The sequence below is a fragment of the Homo sapiens genome, chromosome 10 (assembly GCF_000001405.40).
Source record: "Homo sapiens chromosome 10, GRCh38.p14 Primary Assembly".
Lineage (NCBI taxonomy): Eukaryota > Metazoa > Chordata > Mammalia > Primates > Hominidae > Homo > Homo sapiens.
In genome coordinates this window covers 43385344-43409258 of record NC_000010.11, presented here as the reverse complement: position 1 = coordinate 43409258, position 23915 = coordinate 43385344, and the positions used below count along the sequence as shown (strand labels likewise).

The 23915-nt window shown below is 47.6% G+C and overlaps 1 protein-coding gene across 6 annotated transcripts, besides 16 other annotated features; it reads left to right on the top strand.

Annotated features, from left to right (window-relative positions):
- The first annotated feature begins 72 nt into the window (after positions 1 to 72).
- Positions 73 to 23641, top strand: HNRNPF (heterogeneous nuclear ribonucleoprotein F). Of its 6 annotated transcripts, none has more exons than NM_001098204.2 (4): positions 73 to 128; positions 12669 to 12803; positions 14571 to 14629; positions 21323 to 23641. In NM_001098204.2, the coding sequence occupies exon 4, from the start codon at positions 21375 to 21377 to the stop codon at positions 22620 to 22622; it is 1248 nt and encodes a 415-aa protein (NP_001091674.1). In that variant the 5' UTR covers positions 73 to 128; positions 12669 to 12803; positions 14571 to 14629; positions 21323 to 21374; the 3' UTR covers positions 22623 to 23641. The 6 variants fall into 6 exon arrangements, with proteins under 6 accessions (NP_001091674.1, NP_004957.1, NP_001091675.1 ...); NM_004966.4 differs by having other exon boundaries at positions 73 to 169; NM_001098205.2 differs by lacking the exon at positions 73 to 128 and adding an exon at positions 402 to 532.
- Positions 174 to 233: an enhancer, noted in NCBI's record as "active region_3298". NCBI's record gives its function as "activates an Ori minimal core promoter by ATAC-STARR-seq in GM12878 lymphoblastoid cells {active_cell/tissue: GM12878}" and the evidence as "EXISTENCE:reporter gene assay evidence [ECO:0000049][PMID:35858748]".
- Positions 334 to 453: a silencer, noted in NCBI's record as "silent region_2329". NCBI's record gives its function as "represses an Ori minimal core promoter by ATAC-STARR-seq in GM12878 lymphoblastoid cells {active_cell/tissue: GM12878}" and the evidence as "EXISTENCE:reporter gene assay evidence [ECO:0000049][PMID:35858748]".
- Positions 743 to 1346: an enhancer, noted in NCBI's record as "H3K27ac hESC enhancer chr10:43903361-43903964 (GRCh37/hg19 assembly coordinates)". NCBI's record gives its function as "activates a minimal SCP1, AML or CMV promoter by ChIP-STARR-seq in naive H9 embryonic stem cells {active_cell/tissue: H9 hESC(naive)}" and the evidence as "EXISTENCE:reporter gene assay evidence [ECO:0000049][PMID:30033119]".
- Positions 743 to 1363: a biological region, named in NCBI's record as "H3K27ac hESC enhancer GRCh37_chr10:43903361-43903964".
- Positions 964 to 1303: an enhancer, noted in NCBI's record as "active region_3297". NCBI's record gives its function as "activates an Ori minimal core promoter by ATAC-STARR-seq in GM12878 lymphoblastoid cells {active_cell/tissue: GM12878}" and the evidence as "EXISTENCE:reporter gene assay evidence [ECO:0000049][PMID:35858748]".
- Positions 1314 to 1363: an enhancer, noted in NCBI's record as "active region_3296". NCBI's record gives its function as "activates an Ori minimal core promoter by ATAC-STARR-seq in GM12878 lymphoblastoid cells {active_cell/tissue: GM12878}" and the evidence as "EXISTENCE:reporter gene assay evidence [ECO:0000049][PMID:35858748]".
- Positions 1504 to 1563: an enhancer, noted in NCBI's record as "active region_3295". NCBI's record gives its function as "activates an Ori minimal core promoter by ATAC-STARR-seq in GM12878 lymphoblastoid cells {active_cell/tissue: GM12878}" and the evidence as "EXISTENCE:reporter gene assay evidence [ECO:0000049][PMID:35858748]".
- Positions 1734 to 2103: a silencer, noted in NCBI's record as "silent region_2328". NCBI's record gives its function as "represses an Ori minimal core promoter by ATAC-STARR-seq in GM12878 lymphoblastoid cells {active_cell/tissue: GM12878}" and the evidence as "EXISTENCE:reporter gene assay evidence [ECO:0000049][PMID:35858748]".
- Positions 7124 to 7643: an enhancer, noted in NCBI's record as "OCT4-NANOG hESC enhancer chr10:43897064-43897583 (GRCh37/hg19 assembly coordinates)". NCBI's record gives its function as "activates a minimal SCP1, AML or CMV promoter by ChIP-STARR-seq in naive H9 embryonic stem cells {active_cell/tissue: H9 hESC(naive)}" and the evidence as "EXISTENCE:reporter gene assay evidence [ECO:0000049][PMID:30033119]".
- Positions 9695 to 9834: an enhancer, noted in NCBI's record as "active region_3294". NCBI's record gives its function as "activates an Ori minimal core promoter by ATAC-STARR-seq in GM12878 lymphoblastoid cells {active_cell/tissue: GM12878}" and the evidence as "EXISTENCE:reporter gene assay evidence [ECO:0000049][PMID:35858748]".
- Positions 10373 to 11258: an enhancer, noted in NCBI's record as "H3K27ac-H3K4me1 hESC enhancer chr10:43893449-43894334 (GRCh37/hg19 assembly coordinates)". NCBI's record gives its function as "activates a minimal SCP1, AML or CMV promoter by ChIP-STARR-seq in naive H9 embryonic stem cells {active_cell/tissue: H9 hESC(naive)}" and the evidence as "EXISTENCE:reporter gene assay evidence [ECO:0000049][PMID:30033119]".
- Positions 12013 to 12472: a silencer, noted in NCBI's record as "silent region_2327". NCBI's record gives its function as "represses an Ori minimal core promoter by ATAC-STARR-seq in GM12878 lymphoblastoid cells {active_cell/tissue: GM12878}" and the evidence as "EXISTENCE:reporter gene assay evidence [ECO:0000049][PMID:35858748]".
- Positions 12593 to 12862: an enhancer, noted in NCBI's record as "active region_3293". NCBI's record gives its function as "activates an Ori minimal core promoter by ATAC-STARR-seq in GM12878 lymphoblastoid cells {active_cell/tissue: GM12878}" and the evidence as "EXISTENCE:reporter gene assay evidence [ECO:0000049][PMID:35858748]".
- Positions 13035 to 13922: an enhancer, noted in NCBI's record as "H3K27ac hESC enhancer chr10:43890785-43891672 (GRCh37/hg19 assembly coordinates)". NCBI's record gives its function as "activates a minimal SCP1, AML or CMV promoter by ChIP-STARR-seq in primed H9 embryonic stem cells {active_cell/tissue: H9 hESC(primed)}" and the evidence as "EXISTENCE:reporter gene assay evidence [ECO:0000049][PMID:30033119]".
- Positions 21531 to 22030: an enhancer, noted in NCBI's record as "H3K4me1 hESC enhancer chr10:43882677-43883176 (GRCh37/hg19 assembly coordinates)". NCBI's record gives its function as "activates a minimal SCP1, AML or CMV promoter by ChIP-STARR-seq in naive H9 embryonic stem cells {active_cell/tissue: H9 hESC(naive)}" and the evidence as "EXISTENCE:reporter gene assay evidence [ECO:0000049][PMID:30033119]".
- Positions 22031 to 22532: an enhancer, noted in NCBI's record as "H3K4me1 hESC enhancer chr10:43882175-43882676 (GRCh37/hg19 assembly coordinates)". NCBI's record gives its function as "activates a minimal SCP1, AML or CMV promoter by ChIP-STARR-seq in naive and primed H9 embryonic stem cells {active_cell/tissue: H9 hESC(naive and primed)}" and the evidence as "EXISTENCE:reporter gene assay evidence [ECO:0000049][PMID:30033119]".
- Positions 23642 to 23915: the final 274 nt, after the last annotated feature.

Sequence of the window (23915 nt, the reverse complement as noted above, 5' to 3'; positions counted from 1 at the left end):
CTGGCGCGTCACAATGCGCCGTCGCGGCCCCGCCCCCGGACGCCGGACGCAGAAACTCCGCCCTGCCGCGGTCCTTGCGTCCTTCCGGCTCCGTCGTGGAAGCAGGACTGCGCCGCGTCTTCCTCAAGGTGGGGTTCGGGGGGCCACCGAATCGCTGTCACGCCGGCAGGTAGCAGGGGGTGGGGACGCGGGCTCCTTGGGCTTCTGTTTCCTGGTGTCCAGGGCAAAGGGCTGAGCCGGGCAGTAGGGCCTAGTCGGGGCCTGGCTCGCCGGGAGCAGGAGGGCTTCCGGCAAAGCCGCGTGCGCTCGACGGGCAGGCGCTGAGGATTGGGGCCGGCAGCGCGCCTGACCCCGCCCCTCGTAGGCTCCGCCCCGTGCTCGCAGGCGGGGGTTTCCATGGTGATGGTCAACAAGCCTCAACTGCCTCTGCTACAACTGCCAAGTTCCCCGCGTCCCACCCTCCTCTAGGTGCTCCAAGGGACCACCGGGGTGCCTGATATGAGAGCGGGAGTGTAGAGACTCGGAGGCCGAGGTGAGGGGCGGCCGAAGTCTCCGAGGTCGAAGGCCGCACACCCGGGACCTAGCGGGGACCGGGTCCCCCTGGGGGTGGGGACGGGGGGTGGGATTTGAGATTAGGGAGACTATCCGAAGTCCAGGGCCCCGTACCCGGACTACCTGGGGACTGGGCCTATTGGGGTGGGGATCGTTGGGCTGGGGCTGGGATTTGGGATCAGGGAAGAGCGATCTGAGTTTAAGCGCCGCAAACCTGGGACCGAGCGAGGACTGCACATAATGAGGGGCCGTGGCGCTGAGATTTGGGTGACGGGATTCGAGGTCGAGGGGCCCGTACGTGGGACCGGCAAGAACTGGACCCACTGGGATCGGGAGACGCAGCGTCGGAGGTCGAGAGCCGCACGCCCAGACAGTGGTCCCACGCGGTGAGCACCGCGGGCTGAGATTTTGGAGTCAGGAAAGCGCGGGGAAGGCACGGACGGCCGGGTGCGTTAGTCCGGCCCCCTGGCGGGGAGCTGGCGACTGCCGGAGGGCTCTGAAAGTGAGAACAGGCCTGGCGCAGTGGGAGGCCCAGCCGGGAGGATCTCTTGAGCCCAGGAGTTCCCGACAAGCCTGGGCAACATAGACTGTCTCTACTGAAAAGTAAAGAAAAAAAAATTAGCCACGTGTGGTGGCGCGCGCCTGTTGTCCCAGCTACTCGGGAGGCTGAGGCGGGAGGGTCGCTTGCTCTGAGGTCGAGGCTGCAGTGACAGTGATTGTGCCACTGCATTCCAGCCGGGCGACGGAAATGAGACCTTGTCTCAAAAGAAGTAATAATAGTAATAATACCTGAGTAAAATGAAAGCCGCGCGCTCACGTGGCTGCAGGCGCCTGAGAGTTGCACAAGACTTCCTTGTGGGGAGTTGGCTCCGCCCTCCTCCCACGCCCGGTTCCCGTAGCCTTAGCTCTCGGCCCCGGGCCCTTTTTCCTCCTCGGCTGCGCCGCGTGTCCTCGGAGCGCGGTCCCTGTATTGGTCTCCTGCTCCTAGAGGTATCGTGTTTGTATTTGGGGTGAAAATCTGACTCGTGCGCGCTCTTCAGCTTAGTCGTCCTTTTTTTTTTCCTTTTGTTTGTTTGTATTAAGTATTTTCGTCGATTCCGCCCTGCTCGTAGGAAACTTGTGGACGGGGCCCGGCTCCTGCTGCGCCGGCTGCCCGGCTCCCCCAACCGCAGAGTCGTGGACCAGGGTTTTGAGGAGCAAGGCACCCGACTCGCCCTCCCCCCAAGGCCGCCCCGGGCGCGGGAACCCCTCCCCCTAGGCGCCTGGGACCCCCGCTCGGCTCCGCGTGTGTCCCGGCGGAGGGTGGAAGGAGAGCCGAGCTCGGCCATTGCCCGCGGGCGGCCCGGGGACGAGCTGACGCGCCTCTTTAGTTCTCGAAACTGCTCGCGGGCGCTGGGGGCTCGGGCCGGCCATCTGCGTGGCGGGACGCGAGGCGCGCGCTGGCGGCTGCGCGCGAAGGGCAACGGGCGGCGGCGGCGGCTTCCCGGAACCGCGCGGGGCGGGCCCTGCGCCGGGGTCAGGGCCACAGCCTCAGGCGGCAGGGAGTTCTGAAAGCGTAGTTTTCAGTCGTTCCGTCCCAAAAGTCATCTTAATTCTTCCAAAAATACACGCATATAATTCTTTCTACTTAGTTATATTTTTAAAAGTTAAATACGTGGTTGTCTCTGAATTCCTAGTAAGATGAAAATTTCTTGGGTTCTCCAGGTAGGTGAAAGATACCTTAAGTGCTATTCCTGCAAAGTGACTCGTTGCTCTCACAGAATTTATAAACTATAAAATAAGACATTACTACTTTAATGAATATTAAGAGAGAGATTGCTTTATTCCTAAGCAAGAAGATCTTTTCCCTTGTAGGTATTACATTCCGGTGTGCATTCTGTAGATTAGAGTCATTATCGGCCGGGCGAGGTGGCTCACGCCTGTAATCCCAGCATTTAGGGAGGCCGAGGTGTGGGAGGATCGCTTGGGCCCCAGAGACCTACCCCGTCTCTATAAAAAAATATGTATTATTTTTTGAGACAGGGTCTCACTTTGTTGCCCAGGCTGGAGTGCAATGGTGTGATCTCGGCTCGCTGCCGAGATCCTCCTGTGCTCAACGGATCCTCCCACCTCAGCCGCCGAGTATCTGGGACCACGGGCACTCTCCAGCACGCCCGGCAAATTTTTGTATTTTTTGTAGAGATGGGGTCTCCTTATGTTGCCCAGATTGATTTTCAAACTTTTGTGCTCAAGCGATTCTCACGCCTCTGCCTCCCAAAGTGCTGGGATTACAGGCGTGAGCCATCGTGCCCGGCCACTTTTTTGTAAACTGCCAAGTTTTCTGTTAAGGGTAGCGTTATAAAGCTTTATTCAGGTAAAAAATGGAATTTATTTAAGGGAAAAGACTGAGTAAATAGAAAGTTACTTCTCCCACGTGGCCAGAACCTTGGAAAGCCTGGAGGCAAATGAGAGCCCGGTGGGGGTAGATGCCTGCAGGGGCTGCAGAAATGTGACAGGCCCTTTCCTTGGAGGTGACTTCTCTAATTCCCTCTCCCCCACTGAGCTCTGGTTCTCTGCTCTTCGGGAGAACCACATTAGTTGACTCTTACTAGGTCCTAGAAGTTTTACTCCATTTTCTAATTACATGCTCAGGACTACTCCAGAAGGGCTTGCTATTAGCCCCATGTTTCAGATGAGAAAATGGAGGTTGGGAGAAGTCATGTGTCCAGGGACACAATTGGGACTTGGGACCCAGTCCCAACTGGGTCCCAAGTTGGACCGGGACACCCCTCCCCTGCCAGGGCCCTTGCCCTGTCTTAGTTGCCCTGAGCTACGGTTCTTGTGGAGGGCAACAGGGTGGGCAGAGGGAGAACTGAGCTCAGCCAAGACCGCCCTGGCTTATTTTACAGCAAATCCCAGACCAATAAGGTCTTTATTAATAAATAAATCCGCAGTATTTCTAAGAACTTTTAAAACCTAACCATGATACTGCTGTCATGCCTAAAAATACATTCCAAAATATCAAGTATCCAGGGTTTAAGTGTTTCTGTATTAAATTTTTTTTTTTTTCCGAGACGGAATCTTGCTCTTGTCACCCAGGCTGGAGTGCAGTGGCACAATCTCAGCTCACTGCAAACTCCATCTCCCGGGTTAATGCCATTCTCCTGCCTCAGCCTCCCGAGTTGCTGGGACTACAGGCGGCCGCCACCATGCCCGGCTAATTTTTTGTATTTTTAGTAGAGGCGGGGTTTCATCATGTTAGCAGGGATGGTCTCGATCTCCTGACCTCGTGATCCGCCGGCCTCGGCCTCCCAAAGTGCTGGGATTACAGGCGTGAGCCACCGCGCCCGGCATGTATTAAATATTTTAAACAGCTGGTTGGTTTGAGTCAGGATCCAAAGTCACACCTTATATTTTGTAGATAACTTTTTAAATTCAGAGCAGCACTGTCCAATAGAAATATAATGTATGCTATAAATGTAATCTTATATTCTTTAGTGGTAAAAGGAAACATGATTCATTGTATTAATAATTTAACCTAATATATATCCACTACTATTTTGCATGTAATTTTAAAACACTTTTTCATTTCTCCATGATCTTGACTAAAATAATTAAAAACAAAATCCTGTGAACTTGTCAAAATCCAGTGTGAGTTTTACACTTACACATTTCAAGCGTGGTGAATGGATGCTGTGTAAGTGATCATCTAGAGGTTCCCCTTTCTTAAAAGGCTCCATCCCCCGTTATATTTGTCGGGCTGTCTTGCAGCATTCCTTCCCCACACTTCGCATTTTTCTGATTGTTTTTCCGTGGTGGTCTTTGAGTGTCTGTTCTTTATATTTCCTGTAAAGTGATAGTTACCTCTAGAGGTAGTTTTTGGTTTTGGTTTTATTTTTGTTTTTGAGACGGAGTTTTGGTTTTGTTGCCCAGGCTGGAGTGCAATGGTGTGATCTTGTCTCACTGCCTCCTGGGTTCAAGCAATTCTCTTGCCTCAGCCTCCTGAGTAACTGGGATTACAGGGGTATTTTTAGTAGAGACGGAGTATCAACTTGTTGGTCAGGCTGGTCTCAACCTCCTGACCTCAGGTGATCCACCCGCCTCAGCCTCCCAAAGTGCTGGGATTACTGGTGTGAGCCACCGCACCCAGTCTGGAGGTAGTTTTGATTCAGATGAGAGTTTTTGGAAAGAAAACTTACTTGAGGTGCTGTGCTCCAACCGGAGGCACATATTGGTTGGTATCTTCTCTTTTGTCATGTTACAGCAGCTATTAATGATCATTATGTAGATCCATTATTTTCTTAAATGGTTTTCAAATTAGTGATATTTTAATAATCGATTCCTTTTCATTTATTAGCAGGAATACTTTTTCATGTGATCGCTCTAAGATGTACTTTTGTTTTTGTTTTCCTTTTTTTTTTTTTTTATAGACGGATTCTCACTCTGTCACCCAGGCTGGAGTGCAGTGGCAGGATCCAGGCTCACTGCAGCCTCCGCCTCCTGGGTTCAGGCGATTCTCAGGCTCGTGAGCAGCTGGGATTACAGGTGTGCAGCACCACCACGCCCATCTAATAGTAGAGATGGTGGAGTGGCAGGGGGTGGGGGGTTTCACCATGTTGGCCAGGCTGGTCTCAAACTCCTGACCTCAAGTGATCCACCTGCCTTGGCCTCCCAAAGTGCTGGGATTACAGGCGTGAGTCACCCACCACGCCCAGCCCTCCACATTTTTTTTTTTCGAGAAAGGGTTTCACTTTGATGCCCACACTGGAGTGCCCTGGTGTGGACAGAGCTCACTGCAGCCTCAACCTCCTGGGCTCAGGCAATCCTGCCTCATCCCCCCAAGTAGCTGGGATTACAGGTGTGTGCCACATGCCCAGCTATTTTTTTTTGTATTTTTTGTAGAGAAGGGGTTTTGCCATGTCGCCCAGGGTGGTCTCCTGAGCTCAAGTGATCTGCCCACCTCGGCCTCCCAAAGTGCTGGGATTACAGGTGTGAGCCACTATATATGGCCTCAGTTCTTCCTTGACATAAATTCAGCTTAGCATTTCTCATAAAACATTAAAAAAGTACCTCTATACTTTGTCTCCATTGATACATCAGTATGAGAAATTGCAGTGATTGAGTTTGAAATGATCAACTACACTTGCATTCCTGAAATCCAACTTGGTCATAATATCGCTTTATATATTGCTGGATTAGGTTGACTGATACTTGGTTTGGACTTTTGCATCTGAGTTCTTGAGTGAAATTAGCCTGTGATACTTGATTAATTGTAAAACTCTTTTGGAAATGAAAAAATCAATTCCAAGTTCATTGTAGATGTAAGTGTAAAAATTTAGAGAAGAACATCAACGCTTTGTAAGTTCAGATAACTATATGGGCTGGGGCTAGGAAAAAGATCTCTTGAAAATGACACAGGCTGGGCGGGGTGGTTCACACCTTTAATCCCAGCAGGGCCAAGGCAGGCGGATTGCTTGAGGCCAGGAGTCCAAGACCAGCCTGGCCAATGTGGCGAAACCCCATCTCTACTAAAAATACAAAAATTTGCCAGGTGTGGTGGTGTGCATCTGTAATCCCAGGCTGAGGCAGGAGAATTGCTTGAACTCAGGAGGTGGAGGTTGCAGTGAACCGAGAGTGGAATGATGGTTTGAGCTCAGGAGTTCAAGATAAGCCTGGGCAAGATGGCAAGACCCTATCTTTTCAAAAACAGAATTTTTAATTAGCCAGGTATGATAGCGAACACTTGTAAAGACATAGAGGATGCAGTGAGTTGTGATTGCAGTACTGCATACCACCCTGAGCAAGAAAGCAAGACCCCGTTTAAAAAAAAAAAGCCATCATAATTAAGAAAAGGCATGACAGATTAAGACTCCTATTAGATTTATCCTAACGGTATGCCTCCTGTTAGACAAAATGCTTCACCTAATACAAATACAGATACTCTTACTTACTGTTATATCCCGATAAATCCATCATAAGTTATTTGATTAGAATAGTGCCATCTAATAGAATTATGATGTTTATGACAAATACATATCTTTTCTAATTTAAGTTGGTGTTAGATACCATATACGATCCTCTTAAAGTACATAGAATTCAGAAGTTAGTTTTCTTGTGATGTTTTTGTCTGGTTTGGTAACACGTTGTATTAGTATGCTAGGGCTGCCATGCAAAGTAATACAGACTAGTAACAAATTTTCTCACGGTTATGGAGGCTAGAAGTCTTAAGATGAGGGTGTTGATAGGGTTGGTTTCTTTTCAGGCAGGAGAAATAATGTGAATAGTAGGAATTCCAGAAGGAGAAAAAGACACAGATGGAGGCAGCAAGAGAAGCGATAAAGGATTAGAAGTGAATTTTCCTGGCTTAAGATCCCTGTAGTTCCCATTAGGATATTTTGAAAAGACACAGCACAGGCGTGTGTTGGTAAAACTCCTAAAGTATAGAGGAAACTGCTTTGGAAAAAGTATGTCCTCCAAATCTCTTATCTTCTCCCCCATTGTTTCTGTTTTGATGTTTATTCTACTTCGTTTTCCTTTCTTTGAATTCATTACTAACTTTTAAATTTAAAACTCAGTTTTAGTTCCAGAAAGTTTTTTTTTTTAAGTTTTGTAATGGAGTGGTATCTGAAGTTGCTCTTTTTTTCCTGTTAAAATCATTATGGTTTTTGTCTAGCACTTCTTGTTCCCTGAAACCTGAGGTGTGGTATGTTATTTCTGGGTGCCGGAGCCCCTCTTCTGTAAATTGTCATGTTCCTTTCCTCCTTCCATCTCTCTGTTCTGCACAATTCCCCCAAGGCAGAATGCAGTGGTCCCCTGGGCAGCACAGCTCAGGGCCAGCAGTCTCAGCTCAGGGCCTGCTGCTTGGAACCTGACTAAGGTGTCATGTTTCCATGGAGGCTTCAGGAAGAATTCCCATCCCAAGGAATGTACCTTCCTCAGGGGGCTGAGGATACCCCACAGGCCTCCTTTCTCTCCAGCTCCAGGGTTTGACTATGCACCTATTTAGGGGCTGCTTGCTCAAGGGAGAGAGGTACAGGAGGTGGTCTGGGAAAAACAAAATTGATCTTCCTATCAATTGTATTTTTGTTTAGCGGAATCTATACACACCCATTTCTTTGGATATTATTTCCAGTTACTCCAGCTAATCCAAATAATGATATTTGCCCTCAGTTAAGAACAGATTTTATTTTTAGGAACAGAAGTCTAGTAGCAGTTTTGCTTTTTATTAACGTTTTAAGGAACATTTACCTTAGATATCATGATTCTTGGGCATTTGCAAAATGCAGTCAATATCAAACAGCAATGGTTGCTTGTTTTATGATCGGTCAGAATTTGTCCCTTATATTAATTTCAGTACAAACAGTATAGATAAAATTTATCTAACATTACATTATACTACTCTTGATGCTTTTTAGTAACACAGCTTTTGAGAAATGAACGCTGAGGGAAGCAGTGTGTTATCCCCCCAGACTTAGCTACAGCAAGTAAGTGAAAGGACCTGATAGATGGTAATGGAAAACAGCTTTCCTGTTGCATGCAGATCAGGACAGATCCCCTTTGGTGGATATAAATGTAGTAATAATGGAGTAAACATTTAAAATGTTAATATATGCTCCATCTGCAGCTTCTCAGTCTTTTTTTTTTTTGAGACGGAGTCTCGCTCTATCGCCCAGGCTGGAGTGCAGTGGTGCGATCTGGGCTCCCTGCAAGTTCCGCCTCCCGGGTTCACACCATTCTCCTGCCTCAGCCTCCTGAGTAGCTGGGACTACAGGTGCCTGCCACCACGTTTGGCTAATTTTTGTATTTTTAGTAGAGACGAGGTTTCACCGTATTAGCCCTCCTGACCTCGTGATCCACCCGCCTCGGCCTCCCAAAGTGCTGGGATTACAGGCATGAGCCACTGTGCCTGGCCACTTCTCAGTCCTTAATAGCTTTTAGGATAGCTCTGTGTATTGAATTTGGCACGTTGTGTGAATTGGGTTAGAATTCTCACACTTCAGATACATGTGCCCCTGAAAAGTTAAGTACAAATGTGTGCGTTGGTGCATTTTTTTAAATGGAATTAGTGTCTTGTATCATAATTCTTGAGTTCATGACAGCAGGAAGTACTTAAGAGTGACTGAATAGGAATTTTATAAAATTGCTGGGTTGGAAGATACTTTTGAGGCCATTAAACCCAATTTTCAATATTTCCAACAGAAAAGGAAAACATCCATAACAAATATGGTCTATGATCTGCTCACATACTATATACCATGATGGGGAATTTTTGCCCCCAAGATGCATCTTGTGCTTCTCATGTGGTGAACAGACACGAGCAGCAGAAGCTGTGTCCTAAAATTTCTTCAATCTAAAGGATTCACCACGAAATAAGAATATGAATACAAAGCATCCAGCACCAAAATGTATCCCAGTAAAGGGCTTTGGTAAAAAATATAAATAATTTGAACAAGTGTCCAGAGGGGAGATAATGTACAGAAGGAAAAAAGAATAATGGGCTTTTAACTTCTTTTTTTTCCCTCAGTTTTTATCTTTTTCCTATATAGAGATGGGAGTCTCACTATACTGCGCAGGCTGGTCTCGAACTCTCTTGGGCTCAAGTGATCCTCCCACCTCGGCCTCCCAAAGTGCTGGAGTTACAGGCTTGAGCCACTGCTCCTGGCCAGCTTCTACTTTAAACCTCAGCTATTTATCAAGGAAAAAAGAATTTCCCTTCTTTCTACATGAAATTCATCACTCAGTGTTCCCACTCACCCATGCTCCTGTCTGTTTAAATGTCACTTCCTCAGAACCCCAATCTGAGCTAATGCCTATTTTCTGTTTTTCGTTCATTCTAAAATTTGTCATCATATATTTGTACATTTCTTGATTTCCTACTCCACTGTTACTGGACCCACCAAGGCAGGAACTGTGTCTCTTTACCACTACAGTTCCTGTATCTTTTAGGTGCGTAGTATTTCTTGGTGAGTCAGTCAGTCTCCAGACTCAGTCATTTTTCTCTACATTACACATTCTTTCACATTCTTCTCCCACCAGTCTTCCTAGACTTGTTTCATTCCTTCCCATCTTGTCTCCATGTATCTCTTCCCACCATTCATTTTCCAGATAGCATCTAGACTGTTGTGTTAAAAAGCAAAACTCCTTTCACACCACATTCCATTAAATGCCTTCCCACTGGCCTTTGAACACCAAACCAGGCCTTTAAGGCTATGTCATCTCCTACCATTGATCTCAGACCTAGCTGCAGTTGCACAATACAACCCCTGGCTCAAGTCTTCTGCACACATTGTTCCCTCACAGGCAGGAACCCTATGGTGACTGATCAATAATTAAAACTTGCCTTGGGCCAGGCACAGTGGCTTATACCTATAATCCTAGCACTTTGGGAGGCCAAGGTGGATCAGTTGAGCCCAGGAGTTACAGACCAGTCTGGGCATCATAGAGAGACCTTGCCTCTACTAAAAAATTAAAAAAAAAATTAGCCCGGCTTGGTGGCATGCACCTGTGGTCCCAGCTACGTTGGGGAGGCTAAAGGTGGGAGGATCATTTGAGCCCAGGAGGTTGAGGCTAATGTGCCTGTCACACAGATTCAACAGTTACTAATCATGGACAGTTATTCTCCATCTCCCCACCTACTACTTTGTGGACAACTTCAAACAAATCCAAGCCATCACAAATATTTCAAGATGGATTTCTAAAACTTAATTGCTTTATTTTATAACATAACCATAATTCTGTGGGTTCTTTTATCTGGCTGGAACTATTCTGAGGTAGGACTGGCTCATTTGTCCTTGTAGTTTCCCACAGTCTACATCACTATATGCAGTATGTTACTGTTCCCTGTAATTCGTGTTATTTAGTAAGTGCATTCTAAAGACTTGCTTTCTCTCAGTTTTACAAACAGTTGTATTAGCCGGGTGTGGTTGCATGCCAGTGGTCCCAGCTACTCAGGAGGCTGAGGTTGGAGGCTTGCTTGAGCCTGGGAGGTTGAGGCTGCATTGCCATGATCGTGCCACTGCATTCCAGCCTGGGCAGCTGAGCCAGACCCTGTCTCAAAATAATAATAATTCTGTTAAAAACGTAAAACAGGCCGGGCGCGGTGGCTCACACCTGTAATCCCAGCACTTTGAGAGGCTGAAGTGGGTGGATCACAAGGTCAGGAGTTGAGACCAGCCTGACCAACATGGTGAAACCCTGTCTCTACTAAAAATACAAAAATTAGCCAGGGTGTGGTAGCGCACGCCTATAATCCCAGCTACTCAGGAGGTTGAGGCCAGGAGAATCGCTTGAACCTGGGAGGGGAGGTTGCAGTGAGCCGAGATCGTGCCATTGCACTCCAGCCCGGGCAACAGAGCAAGACTGTCTCTCAAAAAAAAAAAAAAACAACAACAACAAACTCCAAACAGGCCGGGCATGGGGCTCGCACCTATAATCCCAGTACTTTGGGAGGCCGAGGCAGGGGGATCACGAGGTCAAGATATCGAGACCAGCCTAGCCAACACGGTGAAACCACATCTCTACTAAAAACAAAAACTAGCTGGGTATAGTGGCATGGGCCTATAGTCCCAGCTACTCGGGAGGCTGAGGCAGGAGAATCGCCTTAACCCAGGAGGCAGAGGTTGCAGTGAGCCAAGATCATGCCACTGCACTCCAGCCTGGGTGACAGAGTGAAAACTGTGTCTCAAAAAAAACCAACCAAACAAACAAAACAGTCAAACATACACAAAAGTAGAAACAAGTGTAATGAAACTCTATGTATACATCAGGAGCTTTAATAAAAATTACTAGTTCATAGCACATCTTGTTTCATGTATATTTCCACTTTCCACGTAATCTGAAACATTCAAGAAATCAGGTATCATCTGCAAATATTTGTGGCTCTAAAAAGGGTCTTTTAAAGAAATAAAATTACAGTATAATGACAACAAAATTTACAATTCTGCAATATAAAATGTCACTGATCATATTATCGAAATTGCTTTATAGTTGTTCTCCAGTTCATTTGAATTAAGATTCAGAGGTCCACAAAATTGCGTTAGTTAAAAGTTTAGGAATTGCGTTAAAAAAATTTTTTTTCAAAGATTTTTTTTCAAAATCTTTACGTGTGTCCATGGTCAAATGTACAAACCAAGGTACGTCCGCTAGTTCCATTTTAGAGGCGGCCTCCCAGAGAGGGGCTGTGTCTAACTTGCTGGCTTCTCTTCCACTCTGCACTGCCCGCCCTTCCCCGTGGCTGGCACTCTGGACTTTCCCCAGGTCGCGCTCGCGCCTGGCTCCCTTCGGGAGAACTCGGAGAAATGTCTTCCCGCCGCCCTGACTCTCTCCTTCCCCCACTTCCTGCCTGGGCCCAGCGCGCGGGCCACGGGGCCGCACCTGCAGGCACGCGTTTCCCATTGGTGACATCTTGGCGGGCCCGGCAATGGCACTTCCTCCTCTGCACCCCGTGACCCACGTCCGGCTGCCGGTCTTGGATCACGAGGCCTCCGCTTCCCGGACTCCGGACCCCGCGCCTCCTCGGGGCCGACGGGCCAGTCCCTGGCGTGGTGAGCCGCCGCGCGGGCGCCCCGGCCCCGCCACTCCAGTCCCGGCCGCCCCCCCCAGGTCCCTTTCCGCCGCCCCGGTCGCTCGGAGACGGACGCAGACCTACGAGCGCCTCTTCCCTTCCCTCCCTTCAGCCGCGCTCGGCCCGCGGGTCCCCGAGCTCCCGCCTAGGCAGCGCTAGCTTGGCGGGCCGGGGAGCAGCCCCCACCCCACCTTGCCGTCGCCCTCGCTCTCGCCCTCAGGGCCCCGGAAGCCCGCCAGGGGCCCCCTCCCCTCCCCTCCCCTCCCCTCCCCCTCCCGCGAGGCGCCCTTCCCTCCGGGAACCCTCCCGTCCCTGCCCCCACTCTCCCCGCTGCGCCGCTCGCTCCGCCCCCCGCCCGGAAGCTCCCGCCCGAGCCCGCGCAGGCCCTGGGGCCGACCTTCCTGCCGGGCCGGGCGGTCCGAGGCTGCTGGAGTGCCGTGAGCAGGCCGCGGGAACGTCGCCGTCACCTTGTCTCGGGGCCTCGGCGCTGCTTCCCGCCAAAACACGTTTACCGCGCGCCCGGGCCTCCCACCTTGCGGAAGGGACCCCACCACCACTTGGATTTCTGTTGCAGGTTGAGAACAAAAACATGCACCTGGAGTTTCCCCGGAGCCCTCTGCGTGGTTGAGCTTCGGTGGAATTTCGGGGCTCTTGGCTGCCAGCCGCGCTTGCCTGGTAGCAACAGAAACCAGTCCTGCTCGCCTCCGTGGTAAGTCTAGAGCATGAAAGTCCGCGGGCCCGGCCGGGTGGACTTTGGTTTGAGAGTGGAACTAAGTGAGTAATGGGGGCGGCGCGGCCAGACGCGCTCCCAGCCTCCTGGCGAGAGTGCTGCCCGGTTTCCCGGGGGCACGGGAGTGTGTCTAGGAGGGGAGGCCAGGATCCTTCCTCGAGTCCTGTCCTGAACAAAAGAAAACGAGGTGGGTGGTGCTTGAACGGCCCTGTTTACTCTGCAGATAGCCGAACTGGTAGGACTCCGGCGCGCCCTATTTATCTTGATTGGCTCTGCCTGAAGGCAAGCGTTAATCCCGTCCAACCTGTATCACTGCGAAGAGCTCGTTCGGGAGCGCTTTTTGGAAATGCAGATTCTTAGCCCCCACCCAGATCTGTTTTAGGGTTGGTGTTTTAATTATCTAGGTGGCCCCCGTGCAAGCTCGATCTGAAAACCTCCGGGTCCAGTCACCTGGGGGAGCTGAGCAGCCCTCCCCGCCCCCAGCGCTTTCTTGGCGCTGCGGACGGGGAGACCAGACTCTTCCTCTGCGTGCGTTGGCGGTGCGCAGTGGCCGTGGTCTACAGGCTTACAGCGGCTGGTCCATTGGGGTAAATGGGTGTACGTGGGTCTGGTTGCCAGCTTGTGCATGTCCCCAGAGACGCCTCAGGGTGTTGGTCTGTGGATCACGCAGGGATAAACAAGGGCATAAGTGGATCAGATCATTAAGATGACTGGGTTCCACCCTTTAGATCCTTGAACAAGTCGGATTGTTGAAGCCTTTTGAAAACCTGATTCCAGAGTACTTGAAACTGTTTCACCCCTGAATAGGTTTCCTAATAAATGTAATGCTTTCCATTTGTACACCCCCCCAATAGTGTCTTAAGTAATAATCACTGGAAGTTTGCAAGACAAGGCAGATTTGATTATCTTCATGTTAAGACAACAGGTTCAGCATAATTAGCTGGTTTTACTAATTCCACATTTCCAAAACTCAAGCAGCTTAGTTCTCAGAATTCCATAGCCCTCAGCCCGTGTCCTAGTCCTTTGGGGCAGCGTTTTTACTGGGATGTTGGTGATCTAGTGATTATGATGTATGTTCTAGTGAAGCATATTTCAAAGAAGTTACCCAATAAAACTGAAAGTGTCTTTTGGATGTGTCTCCACACTGCTTACAGAGGGGTTCCTATAAATCAGACTGAACAATTTCTAGCAAGCACCCTTGCTCCTTGCCCATGCTATCCCAGTGAAAGAGGGGTCTTAAGGTCAAGTCCCCTGTGGTTGTCACTTCTCCCCCACCCATCTCCCTCCCAAGTGCCCTGCCCCCGATATTTAAATTTCCTCCCAGCACTTAGGGTCCTCAGTGTACAAACTTAGAATTGGGCAGAGGCGGGCGGATCACCTGAGGTCAGGAGTTTGGGACCAGCCTGGCCAACATATTGAAATCCCATTTCTACTAAAAATACAAAAATTCGCTGGGTGGGGTGGTGCACGCCTGTAATACCAGGTACTGAGGCAGGAGAATCTCATCAAGAGTAAATCTCATCAAGATCAATAAGGCGTTTCCCTTTTGTTGTGCTCTGTATTGCCCTGTGAAAAGATAATACTTCCAAAATGCTGTTAGGTGGATGGGGTGTGAGATTTAATTTAAACCCACGGGCTATATAAAGGGCTTCCCAGCTGTTTCTGTCCTTACCTGGAGTTCTGATCCCAGAGCCAGTGCCTAGGATCTGAGACCACACAGCCAATATCGCTCTGTTTTTTTTTTAGGACATTTCATTACCATCCAGAAGTGTCTCCCACTGAAGGCATCCGTGGTTGTTTTTAAGGTAAGCTATTTTAAGAAGAGCCCCTTTTCAGCTGCAGTATTTATATTTGTTATACTCAAATTTGTTTAGCAGCCTGGAGTGAAAAAAGTTTTGTCCCTAACATTAACCTTGAGCAGGACACCACAGGGCTCTTTTCAGCTTGAGTTTTAGTTAATGAAAAGCCTTAGGACTTCTGAGAAATGGAACAGAAAACCAATTCTGGAGTAAAAATAAGCAGTAAGTGTTTTAAGTGTACACATGTGTTTTGGAAAGGAATGGTCTCTTCGCCTTGCCTTCAGAGAGGAAGTAATTTTGCTTCTGAAACATTTCCTGATGCAAAACACTTATGACATGTAAAAGATTAGGCATTTTAAGTAATTCTTCTATGAAATGTTTTTATTTTTTATGCTGCTTGTATGTCTTTTTCAGCCTAGCCAGGCCACTGCCTTCTTGAGGAAGGTGTTGACCCCCCTACACATGGGCAACAGTTAATCCTGGCTAATCTTGGACCAGCTGGGTCAAGTCTGTGCTGAGGATGGGGTCATGGTGGCCAACAAAACAGGCACAAGTTTCTCCCCAGTAGGCTCCTATTGTGGGTTTAAGACCCCTTTAACAACACAAGAGTGCTGTGGTTAGTGTAGAGCATGAGACTTAATTTGGATAATGAGAAGACCTTTGAGAAAGGTGGTGTATTTGAGCTTAGACCTTAAGGATTAGTGGGATTTAGGTAGACAGAAGGTTGAACAGAGTATATTTGGGGAGAGAATTAACCATGAGTGTCAACTATGTGCGTCACATCCCTGAAGGGGCAGAGAGCTTGCCACATTCCAGGAGAAAAAAGGAAGTGATGTGAGCTTAGGTAGAAGAGTGTTGCAGGCAAAAGTTGCAAGGCCTGAGGGACCCCATTGGGCCTGTGGTCCTTGTTCTGAGGTCAGTGGGAAACCACTGAGGACTTGGATGCAGGACAGTAATGAGTTTTAAAAGTACACGTGAGCCGTAGATGGGATTGCAGTAAGGCCTAGCCACTGTGCTTGGAAAACTTTTTTTTTTTTTTGAGATGGAGTTTTGCTCCTGTTGCCTAGGCTGGAGTGCAGTGACGCGACATTGGCTCACCGCAACCTCTGCCTCCCAGGTTCAAGCGATTCTCCTGCCTCAGCCTTCCTGAGTAGCTGGGATTATAGGCATGCGCCACCACGCCTGGCTAATTTTGTATTTTTAGTAGAAACGGAGTTTCTCCATGTTGGTCAGGCTGGTCTTGAACTCCTGACTTCAGGTGACCTGCCCGCCTCAGCCTCCCAAAGTGCTAGGATTACAGGCATGAGCCACTGCGCCCGGCCTATGCTTGGACTTATTTAAAAGATATATCGGTAATCTGGAATTGGCTGTTTGTACATACAGGAATTAGAATAGGAGAAATAACAATATGAGGTACAGAAAGAAAATGACAATTTGATAACTCCCATTACAAAGAAAAGAATTACTGAGTTCATAGGCTGCCATTCAACGTGTTAGGAACAGGGTAGAGCTGTGAGGCACCTTTATTGCTGAGGAAATGGAAGAGTTGAATAGGATTTAGGGATGAGGATACTGTGGAGAATGGGATCACCCAAGGGAGTTGAGTTGATTGGATTTGAGGGCTTGGGAGAAGGTCAAGGATTACTCCAGTTTCCTTCTAGAGCCTCTGGGTGCAGGTAGGGGCAGTCATGTTGCTATTGGAGTGTGACAGAAGAGAGAATGTGAGGTTTAGTTGTGGCACAGAGGAGAACCTGTGGAGTGGAGTTGTGTCTACCCGTCTAGGCTTCAGGGAGCCGAAGACTGGGGGTTTGTGTATCTCCTGACCCTGGAGATGATTATGGAGACCCTGGGAGCAGGTGAGTCCACTGAGAAGAGGACTTGGGCCCAAGCCTGATTCCCTACAGTTAATGGTTAAGGAAGGACTCAGAGACTGTCTAAGGAATTAACTGGAAAACCAACAGTAATTGCCAACAGGAGTGAAAGGGAGAGGATTTCCAGGAAAGAATGGTTAAGTAAGATGAAGATAAAAACATTTGCTCTTTTTCTTGCCATGGAGATCTGTATAGTAGGATCATGCAGTTTTTTTGTTTGTTTTTGTTTTTGAGACGAGTCTCTGTCGCCTAGGCTGGAGTGCAGTGGCACGATCTCAGCTCACTGCAACCTCTGCCTTCCAGGTCCAAGCGATTCTCCTGTCCCAGCGTCTGGAGTAGCTGGGATTACTGGCGCCCGCCACGACGCCTGGCTAATTTTTGTATTTTTAGTAGAGACGGGGTTTCACCATGTTAGCCAGGATGGTCTCGATCTCCTGACCTCATGATCCACCTGCCTCAGCCTCCCAAAGTGCTGGGATTACAGGTGTGAGGCACTGTGCCCGGCCAATTTTTCTGTATTTTTAGTAGAGACAGGGTTTCACTATGTTGGCTAGGCTGGTCTGGAACTCCTGACCTCAAATGATCTGCCTGCCTTGGCCACCCAAAGTGCTGGGATTACAGGCGTGAGCCACTGCGCTCAACCTAGGTGTCCACCACTATGCTCGGCTAATTTTTGTATTTTTGGTAGAGGCGGGATTTCACCATGTTGGTCAGGCTGGTCTTGAACTCCTGGCTCCGGTTATCCACCCTCCTTGACCTCCTAAAGTGCTGGGATTACAGGCGGTGAGCCACCACACGTGGCCTTGATCATGCAGTTTTAATGGAGGGGAGTGGAAGTGACAGTAGAGGCCTTTTGACAAGATTTTGCTGAACAAATCAACAAGTAGCTAGAGGCAAAGTTGGCACAGGGGAGGTATGACATGATTGGGTAGAACTGAGCATGTTTAATTACCAAGTAGACAGGGCTCAGTGGAGAAAGGGGAAAAGGAAAAAAAGAAGAAAGCATGGCTCCGGGGTATGTGAGGTTGGACCCAGAGCAGAGCTGTTGTTCACGATGTCCGCTGTAAGGGGCCCACTACGTGCTTACAAACTCCTGGACTCTGACTTGACTTCACAAAGTCCACTTCCAAGAGTAATGTCAACCAGCTGGAGAGGAGGTGAGAGTCTGTAAGGCTGCCCCAGACATCTGAAGGGCTTTGGACAAGCAGGGTGCTGGGGTAGGACAGTGGGCGATATTGAGGGCCCGCTTACTCTATGGCTGTTCACTCTGATTTTCTTTTTTTTTTCTTGTGTGGTGGGTTTTTTTTTGGAGTTAGTCTCGCTCCGTCACCCGGGCTGGAGTACAATGGTGCGATCTCCACTCACTGAAAACTCCGCTTCCTGGGTTCAGGTGATTCTCTTGCCTCAGCCTCCGTAGTGGCTGGGACTACAGGCGCCCACCACCACGTCCAGGTAATTTTTTTTTTTTTTTTGAGACAGAGTCTTGCACTGTCGCCCAGGCTGGAGTGCAGTGGTGCGATCTTGGCTTACTGCAACCTCTGCCTCCCAGGTTCAAGCGATGCTCCTGCCTCAGCCTCCCAAGTAGCTGGGACTACAGGTGCCCACCATCACGCCCGGCTAGTTTTTTGTATTTTTAGTCGAGACAGAGGTTTTGTCTATTGGAACTCATGATCTCAAGTGGTCCCACCCACCTCGGCCTCCCAAAGTGCTAGGATTATAGGTGGGAGCCACTGTGCCTGGCCTCACCCTGATTTCTACAGTATTTCACAACTTGGGGGCAGCATTAGCCACCAGAGAACATTTGGGAATGTCTGGAGACATTCGGTTGTCAGAACTGGAGGTGGAGGGTGCTACTGGCATCTAGTGGGCAGAGACCAGGGATGCAGCTAAACATCCTACAGTGCCTGGGCCTGCCTCCACAACACAAAGAACTGTCTGGTCCAAAATGTCAGTAGTCCTGAGGCTGAGAAATTGTAGCTTAGAGGCACCGTTTCGCCTGGCTGTGTGCAGCTGAGCCACTCAGTACATCCATGGAGTAGTCAGATATTTGTTTGGAATCTTCCAGAGCTCTGGTTTTACTGGGCGCGTACAGTTAAGAAGTTCATTGAATGAATTCCATGTATTGTGAGGAAGGAATGTAAAATGATACTTGCTCTAAGCTGGATTATGAAGAATGAGGAGAGAAAGAGGCTGTGTGGATAAGGAAGCCAAGGTCTCTACAAAGGAGGGGGATAGCAGTTGTGGTGGAGGGAGTAGGATGTGATTAGGTGGGGTTTCCTGCAGGGAATGGTGAAATCATTGGAGGTAGGAGTCCAGGAGAAAATGGTTAGTGGATTATGGCTTCATCTCCCCTACCCGGAACGATGGCTGGACCTAAGGCTAGGAACAGAACTCGAGGGAGGCCTTCAGATACTTTTCATGAGTGAGGAGCAAGACCAGGGTATGGTCAAAGACAAAAGGACAGGCGGTGCCTAGCCTGACCCAGTGTTGGGAATGGAATTGCATAAGAAGCCCCCACCTGTAATTGAGCTGTCCCAGACCCATTATCCCAAGAGACACAATACAAACTTGCCCTGACTCTCCAAGGAGGAGCTTCTGAACTGTTAGCACAGAATTCCCTCCGTGGACAGGAGAGGAAGAATCTGCTGTGACCTTGCTCTGCCAGATCAGCATGTTGCAGTGGCCATATGCAGGGGATTTAGATAAGGCCCTGGGGAGGCGGAGACCATTACTTTCTAAGGTGGAGGCTAAACCCCAGGGTTTGTTGCAGACCCAAAGCACAGTTTGAGAATTGGGGATAGGATTATTTATGCCCAATCATTTGCCGTTCAGGATTATTTTATAAAAGTTGATGGAGTTTATGTACATAGTCAATAATTTGAGGTGGGCAATGAGCAATCCAGGTTAGGCTCCCCTTGACTCTCTTCCCAGAGGCTTCCATGTTCCACTCTCATTAGCAAGGGTGACATCTTTTAGTTAGGCTGTATACTTTGAAAGCCCTTGCATTCCAAATCACAGTTCGTGAGTAAATGCCGAGTGTTTGGTCTTGGTGATGTGTTCAGGATATCACATACTGTTCTGTTTCATTTGTGCCATTATGCTTGTTATTGGGAGAGGAGACACATCTTGTTATCTTTATAATCTGGTGTAGACACAGGTAAATTTGAAAGATTTACACAATTATCCTTTTAGACGTTGTCAATTTGAAATGATGAAGCACTGTATGATAATATGTCATTATCTGCAATGGCTACATCAAACTTTAAAATTACTAATTTTCCCTGAAGCTAGTGCAGTTGAGCATTTATTTAGTATGAATTTGCTTTTCCTTTTCTTAAATTACACTTACCTTTACTTTTTGTCTGTTTTTTAAATTGTGGGGTTTTCTTATGGAGCTTTTTTCCCCACATGATGAGCCCATATTTCTTGAAAAGGCCACCAGCTATATCTATTATGCTTGATGTAAAATGACACTTTGAAACATTCGATTTCCAGCTGTGCATGGTGGCTCACGCCAGTAATTCCAGCACTTTGGGCAGCTGAGGTGGGCGGATCACCTGAGGTCAGGAGTTCAAGACCAACCTCGCCAACATGGTGAAATCCCGTATCTCCTAAAAGTATAAAAAATTAGCCGTGCGTGGCGGCTGGTGCATGTAATCCCAGCTACTCAGGAGGCTGAGACAGGAGAATTTCGTGAACCCAGGAGGCGGAGGTTGCAGTGAGCCGAGACAGCACCACTGCACTCCAGCCTGGGCGACAGTGAGACTCTTGTCTCAAAAAAAAAAAAAAAAAAAAAAATTCCATATACTCCTATGCTCTTTTTGAGCGTCACCCTTGACAGTGTTCATATAAAAATACGTCTTTGGCCCCATGATACTGCAGTGTTTTTCTTGCTTGTGACTATGTTATAGACCCTGCTGTCTAGGTCAGCTGCTCCTCTTTCTCAGAAGACTGCCTTCCAGTGTGTGGTTGGCCTTACTCTGAGTTTGGACTTCAGGTGCCATGTACCACCCTGGTGGGAAGGGCATTTCTCAGCCCTCTTGCGATTGCCCTTTCTTCCCGATGCCCTCTTCCAGATCTTCAGCACAAGGCAGCAATTCTGCTATATTTTATGTGAACCTGTGAATCATCTGATCTGGTTTCTCCATTTATTTGCAGTGCACATAACTAAGTCTGCTGGTGAATTTGTCTGCTTGTCTGTATATGTCATCAGTTTGGCCTCATACTTGACTGGTATTTAGTTTGAATTGACAATTTAGGAGCAAAATCATAACTCCATAGACAGTGGAAGCCATTGCTGTCTTGTATCCTGGCAACATTACTGCTGATGAGAACACTAGAAAATCTTACCCTATGTTGTGGTTTAAAAACAGCCTGCTATGTTCCCATCCCTTATTTTTACTCATGAAAGTAAAAGTATCCTACCATAGACAAGCAGATTTACTAAATTTACTATTTTACCAAATGTAAGGCGTATAGTTTAGGAGGAACAACTCAGGAGCTCTTATAGGTGAACTGCCACATATTATCATGACAAATATGTGGAATAAATATAACAAGGAAATGCCCTTGCTCTAAACTGACTGAAACTTACATTTCTCTGTGTTCAAGGCACCACATTCACATGCATCGTCCTGTCTTGTAAACTCCTGATTTGTTTTTCAAACTGCCTGTGACTGATAATGTAATTTTTTGAGAGACCTGGAGTTAACTCTTAGCTCTCAATTGTATTTGGTATATTTCTTAATGTCTTGCTACCTCTCTCGTCTGTAAAATGGGGAAAATTTCTGTTGCATACTAAATAAATTTTTCTTTTTTTTTTTTCCAGCCACAAAAAAGCCACACCCAAGATCACCTGACACCCACCCTGACAAGTGTCCATGATGCTGGGCCCTGAGGGAGGTGAAGGCTTTGTGGTCAAGCTCCGTGGCCTGCCCTGGTCCTGCTCTGTTGAGGACGTGCAGAACTTCCTCTCTGACTGCACGATTCATGATGGGGCCGCAGGTGTCCATTTCATCTACACTAGAGAGGGCAGGCAGAGTGGTGAGGCTTTTGTTGAACTTGGATCAGAAGATGATGTAAAAATGGCCCTGAAAAAAGACAGGGAAAGCATGGGACACCGGTACATTGAGGTGTTCAAGTCCCACAGAACCGAGATGGATTGGGTGTTGAAGCACAGTGGTCCCAACAGTGCCGACAGCGCCAACGATGGCTTCGTGCGGCTTCGAGGACTCCCATTTGGATGCACAAAGGAAGAAATTGTTCAGTTCTTCTCAGGGTTGGAAATTGTGCCAAACGGGATCACATTGCCTGTGGACCCCGAAGGCAAGATTACAGGGGAAGCGTTCGTGCAGTTTGCCTCGCAGGAGTTAGCTGAGAAGGCTCTAGGGAAACACAAGGAGAGGATAGGGCACAGGTACATTGAGGTGTTTAAGAGCAGCCAGGAGGAAGTTAGGTCATACTCAGATCCCCCTCTGAAGTTCATGTCCGTGCAGCGGCCAGGGCCCTATGACCGGCCCGGGACTGCCAGGAGGTACATTGGCATCGTGAAGCAGGCAGGCCTGGAAAGGATGAGGCCTGGTGCCTACAGCACAGGCTACGGGGGCTACGAGGAGTACAGTGGCCTCAGTGATGGCTACGGCTTCACCACCGACCTGTTCGGGAGAGACCTCAGCTACTGTCTCTCCGGAATGTATGACCACAGATACGGCGACAGTGAGTTCACAGTGCAGAGCACCACAGGCCACTGTGTCCACATGAGGGGCCTGCCGTACAAAGCGACCGAGAACGACATTTACAACTTCTTCTCTCCTCTCAACCCTGTGAGAGTCCATATTGAGATTGGCCCAGATGGAAGAGTGACGGGTGAAGCAGATGTTGAGTTTGCTACTCATGAAGAAGCTGTGGCAGCTATGTCCAAAGACAGGGCCAATATGCAGCACAGATATATAGAACTCTTCTTGAATTCAACAACAGGGGCCAGCAATGGGGCGTATAGCAGCCAGGTGATGCAAGGCATGGGGGTGTCTGCTGCCCAGGCCACTTACAGTGGCCTGGAGAGCCAGTCAGTGAGTGGCTGTTACGGGGCCGGCTACAGTGGGCAGAACAGCATGGGTGGCTATGACTAGTTTTGTTAGGAACATTTGAGTTACTTCAATCATTTTCACAGGCAGCCAACAAGCAATTAAGAGCAGTTATAATAGAGGAAGCTGGGGGACCCATTTTGCACCATGAGTTTGTGAAAAATCTGGATTAAAAAATTACCTCTTCAGTGTTTTCTCATGCAAAATTTTCTTCTAGCATGTGATAATGAGTAAACTAAAACTATTTTCAGCTTTTCTCAATTAACATTTTGGTAGTATACTTCAGAGTGATGTTATCTAAGTTTAAGTAGTTTAAGTATGTTAAATGTGGATCTTTTACACCACATCACAGTGAACACACTGGGGAGACGTGCTTTTTTGGAAAACTCAAAGGTGCTAGCTCCCTGATTCAAAGAAATATTTCTCATGTTTGTTCATTCTAGTTTATATTTTCATTTAAAATCCTTTAGGTTAAGTTTAAGCTTTTTAAAAGTTAGTTTTGAGAATTGAGACACAATACTAATACTGTAGGAATTGGTGAGGCCTTGACTTAAAACTTTCTTTGTACTGTGATTTCCTTTTGGGTGTATTTTGCTAAGTGAAACTTGTTAAATTTTTTGTTAACTAAATTTTTTTCTTAAAATAAAGACTTTTTCACAATGACTGGCACAGATTACTCAGCAAAAGATAGCAAAACGGGTGGTTGAAGATAATTCATTTTAATCGTAATGTATTTTAGTGTGAATTTAAAAATTTCATACATCAAATCTATGATCTCCCTTATATTCTTATGATGAGGCTAAATAAAAGTCTAATAAAAATGTTAAATATGTGAATGGTGGAAATGGTGACTAGCAGCACACATTCTGGGAAGCATCAAATAGACACACGGCCCCAGCCACCTGCAACTTATGTGCACTGTTGTAAACCATTCAGAATTTTCCTGCTAGGCCCTTGATGCTGGAGTCACATCTGTTGATAGCTGGAGAACTTTAGTTTCAAGTACTACATTGTGAAAGCAATTATTTTGTTTCTAGTTTTTATAAAATGCTGATTTAAACTTTTTTTTTTGGTCACGCTCCTGATTTCTGTAGGGCGCATTTGTTAATTAGGTTATGACAGGATACACATTATCAAGCTTGAGACCCATTTTCAAATTGCTATCTACCTTGGCAACAGCAATGTTGAAATTCAGGCAGCTCTATATATAGCATACAGTATTACTATCATTTTAAACCTTATGCTAAATACAAACCATCAGGACTTTAAAATGTGGAGTTTATTTAAAACCATTCTGTGCAAAAATGCTATCTACCATTGGGAATTCTTCAACTTTAT

Excerpts from the sequence above, each read along its gene's own strand:
- HNRNPF (NM_001098204.2), top strand. The coding sequence starts at position 21,375 with ATGATGCTGGGCCCTGAGGGAGGTGAAGGCTTTGTGGTCAAGCTCCGT.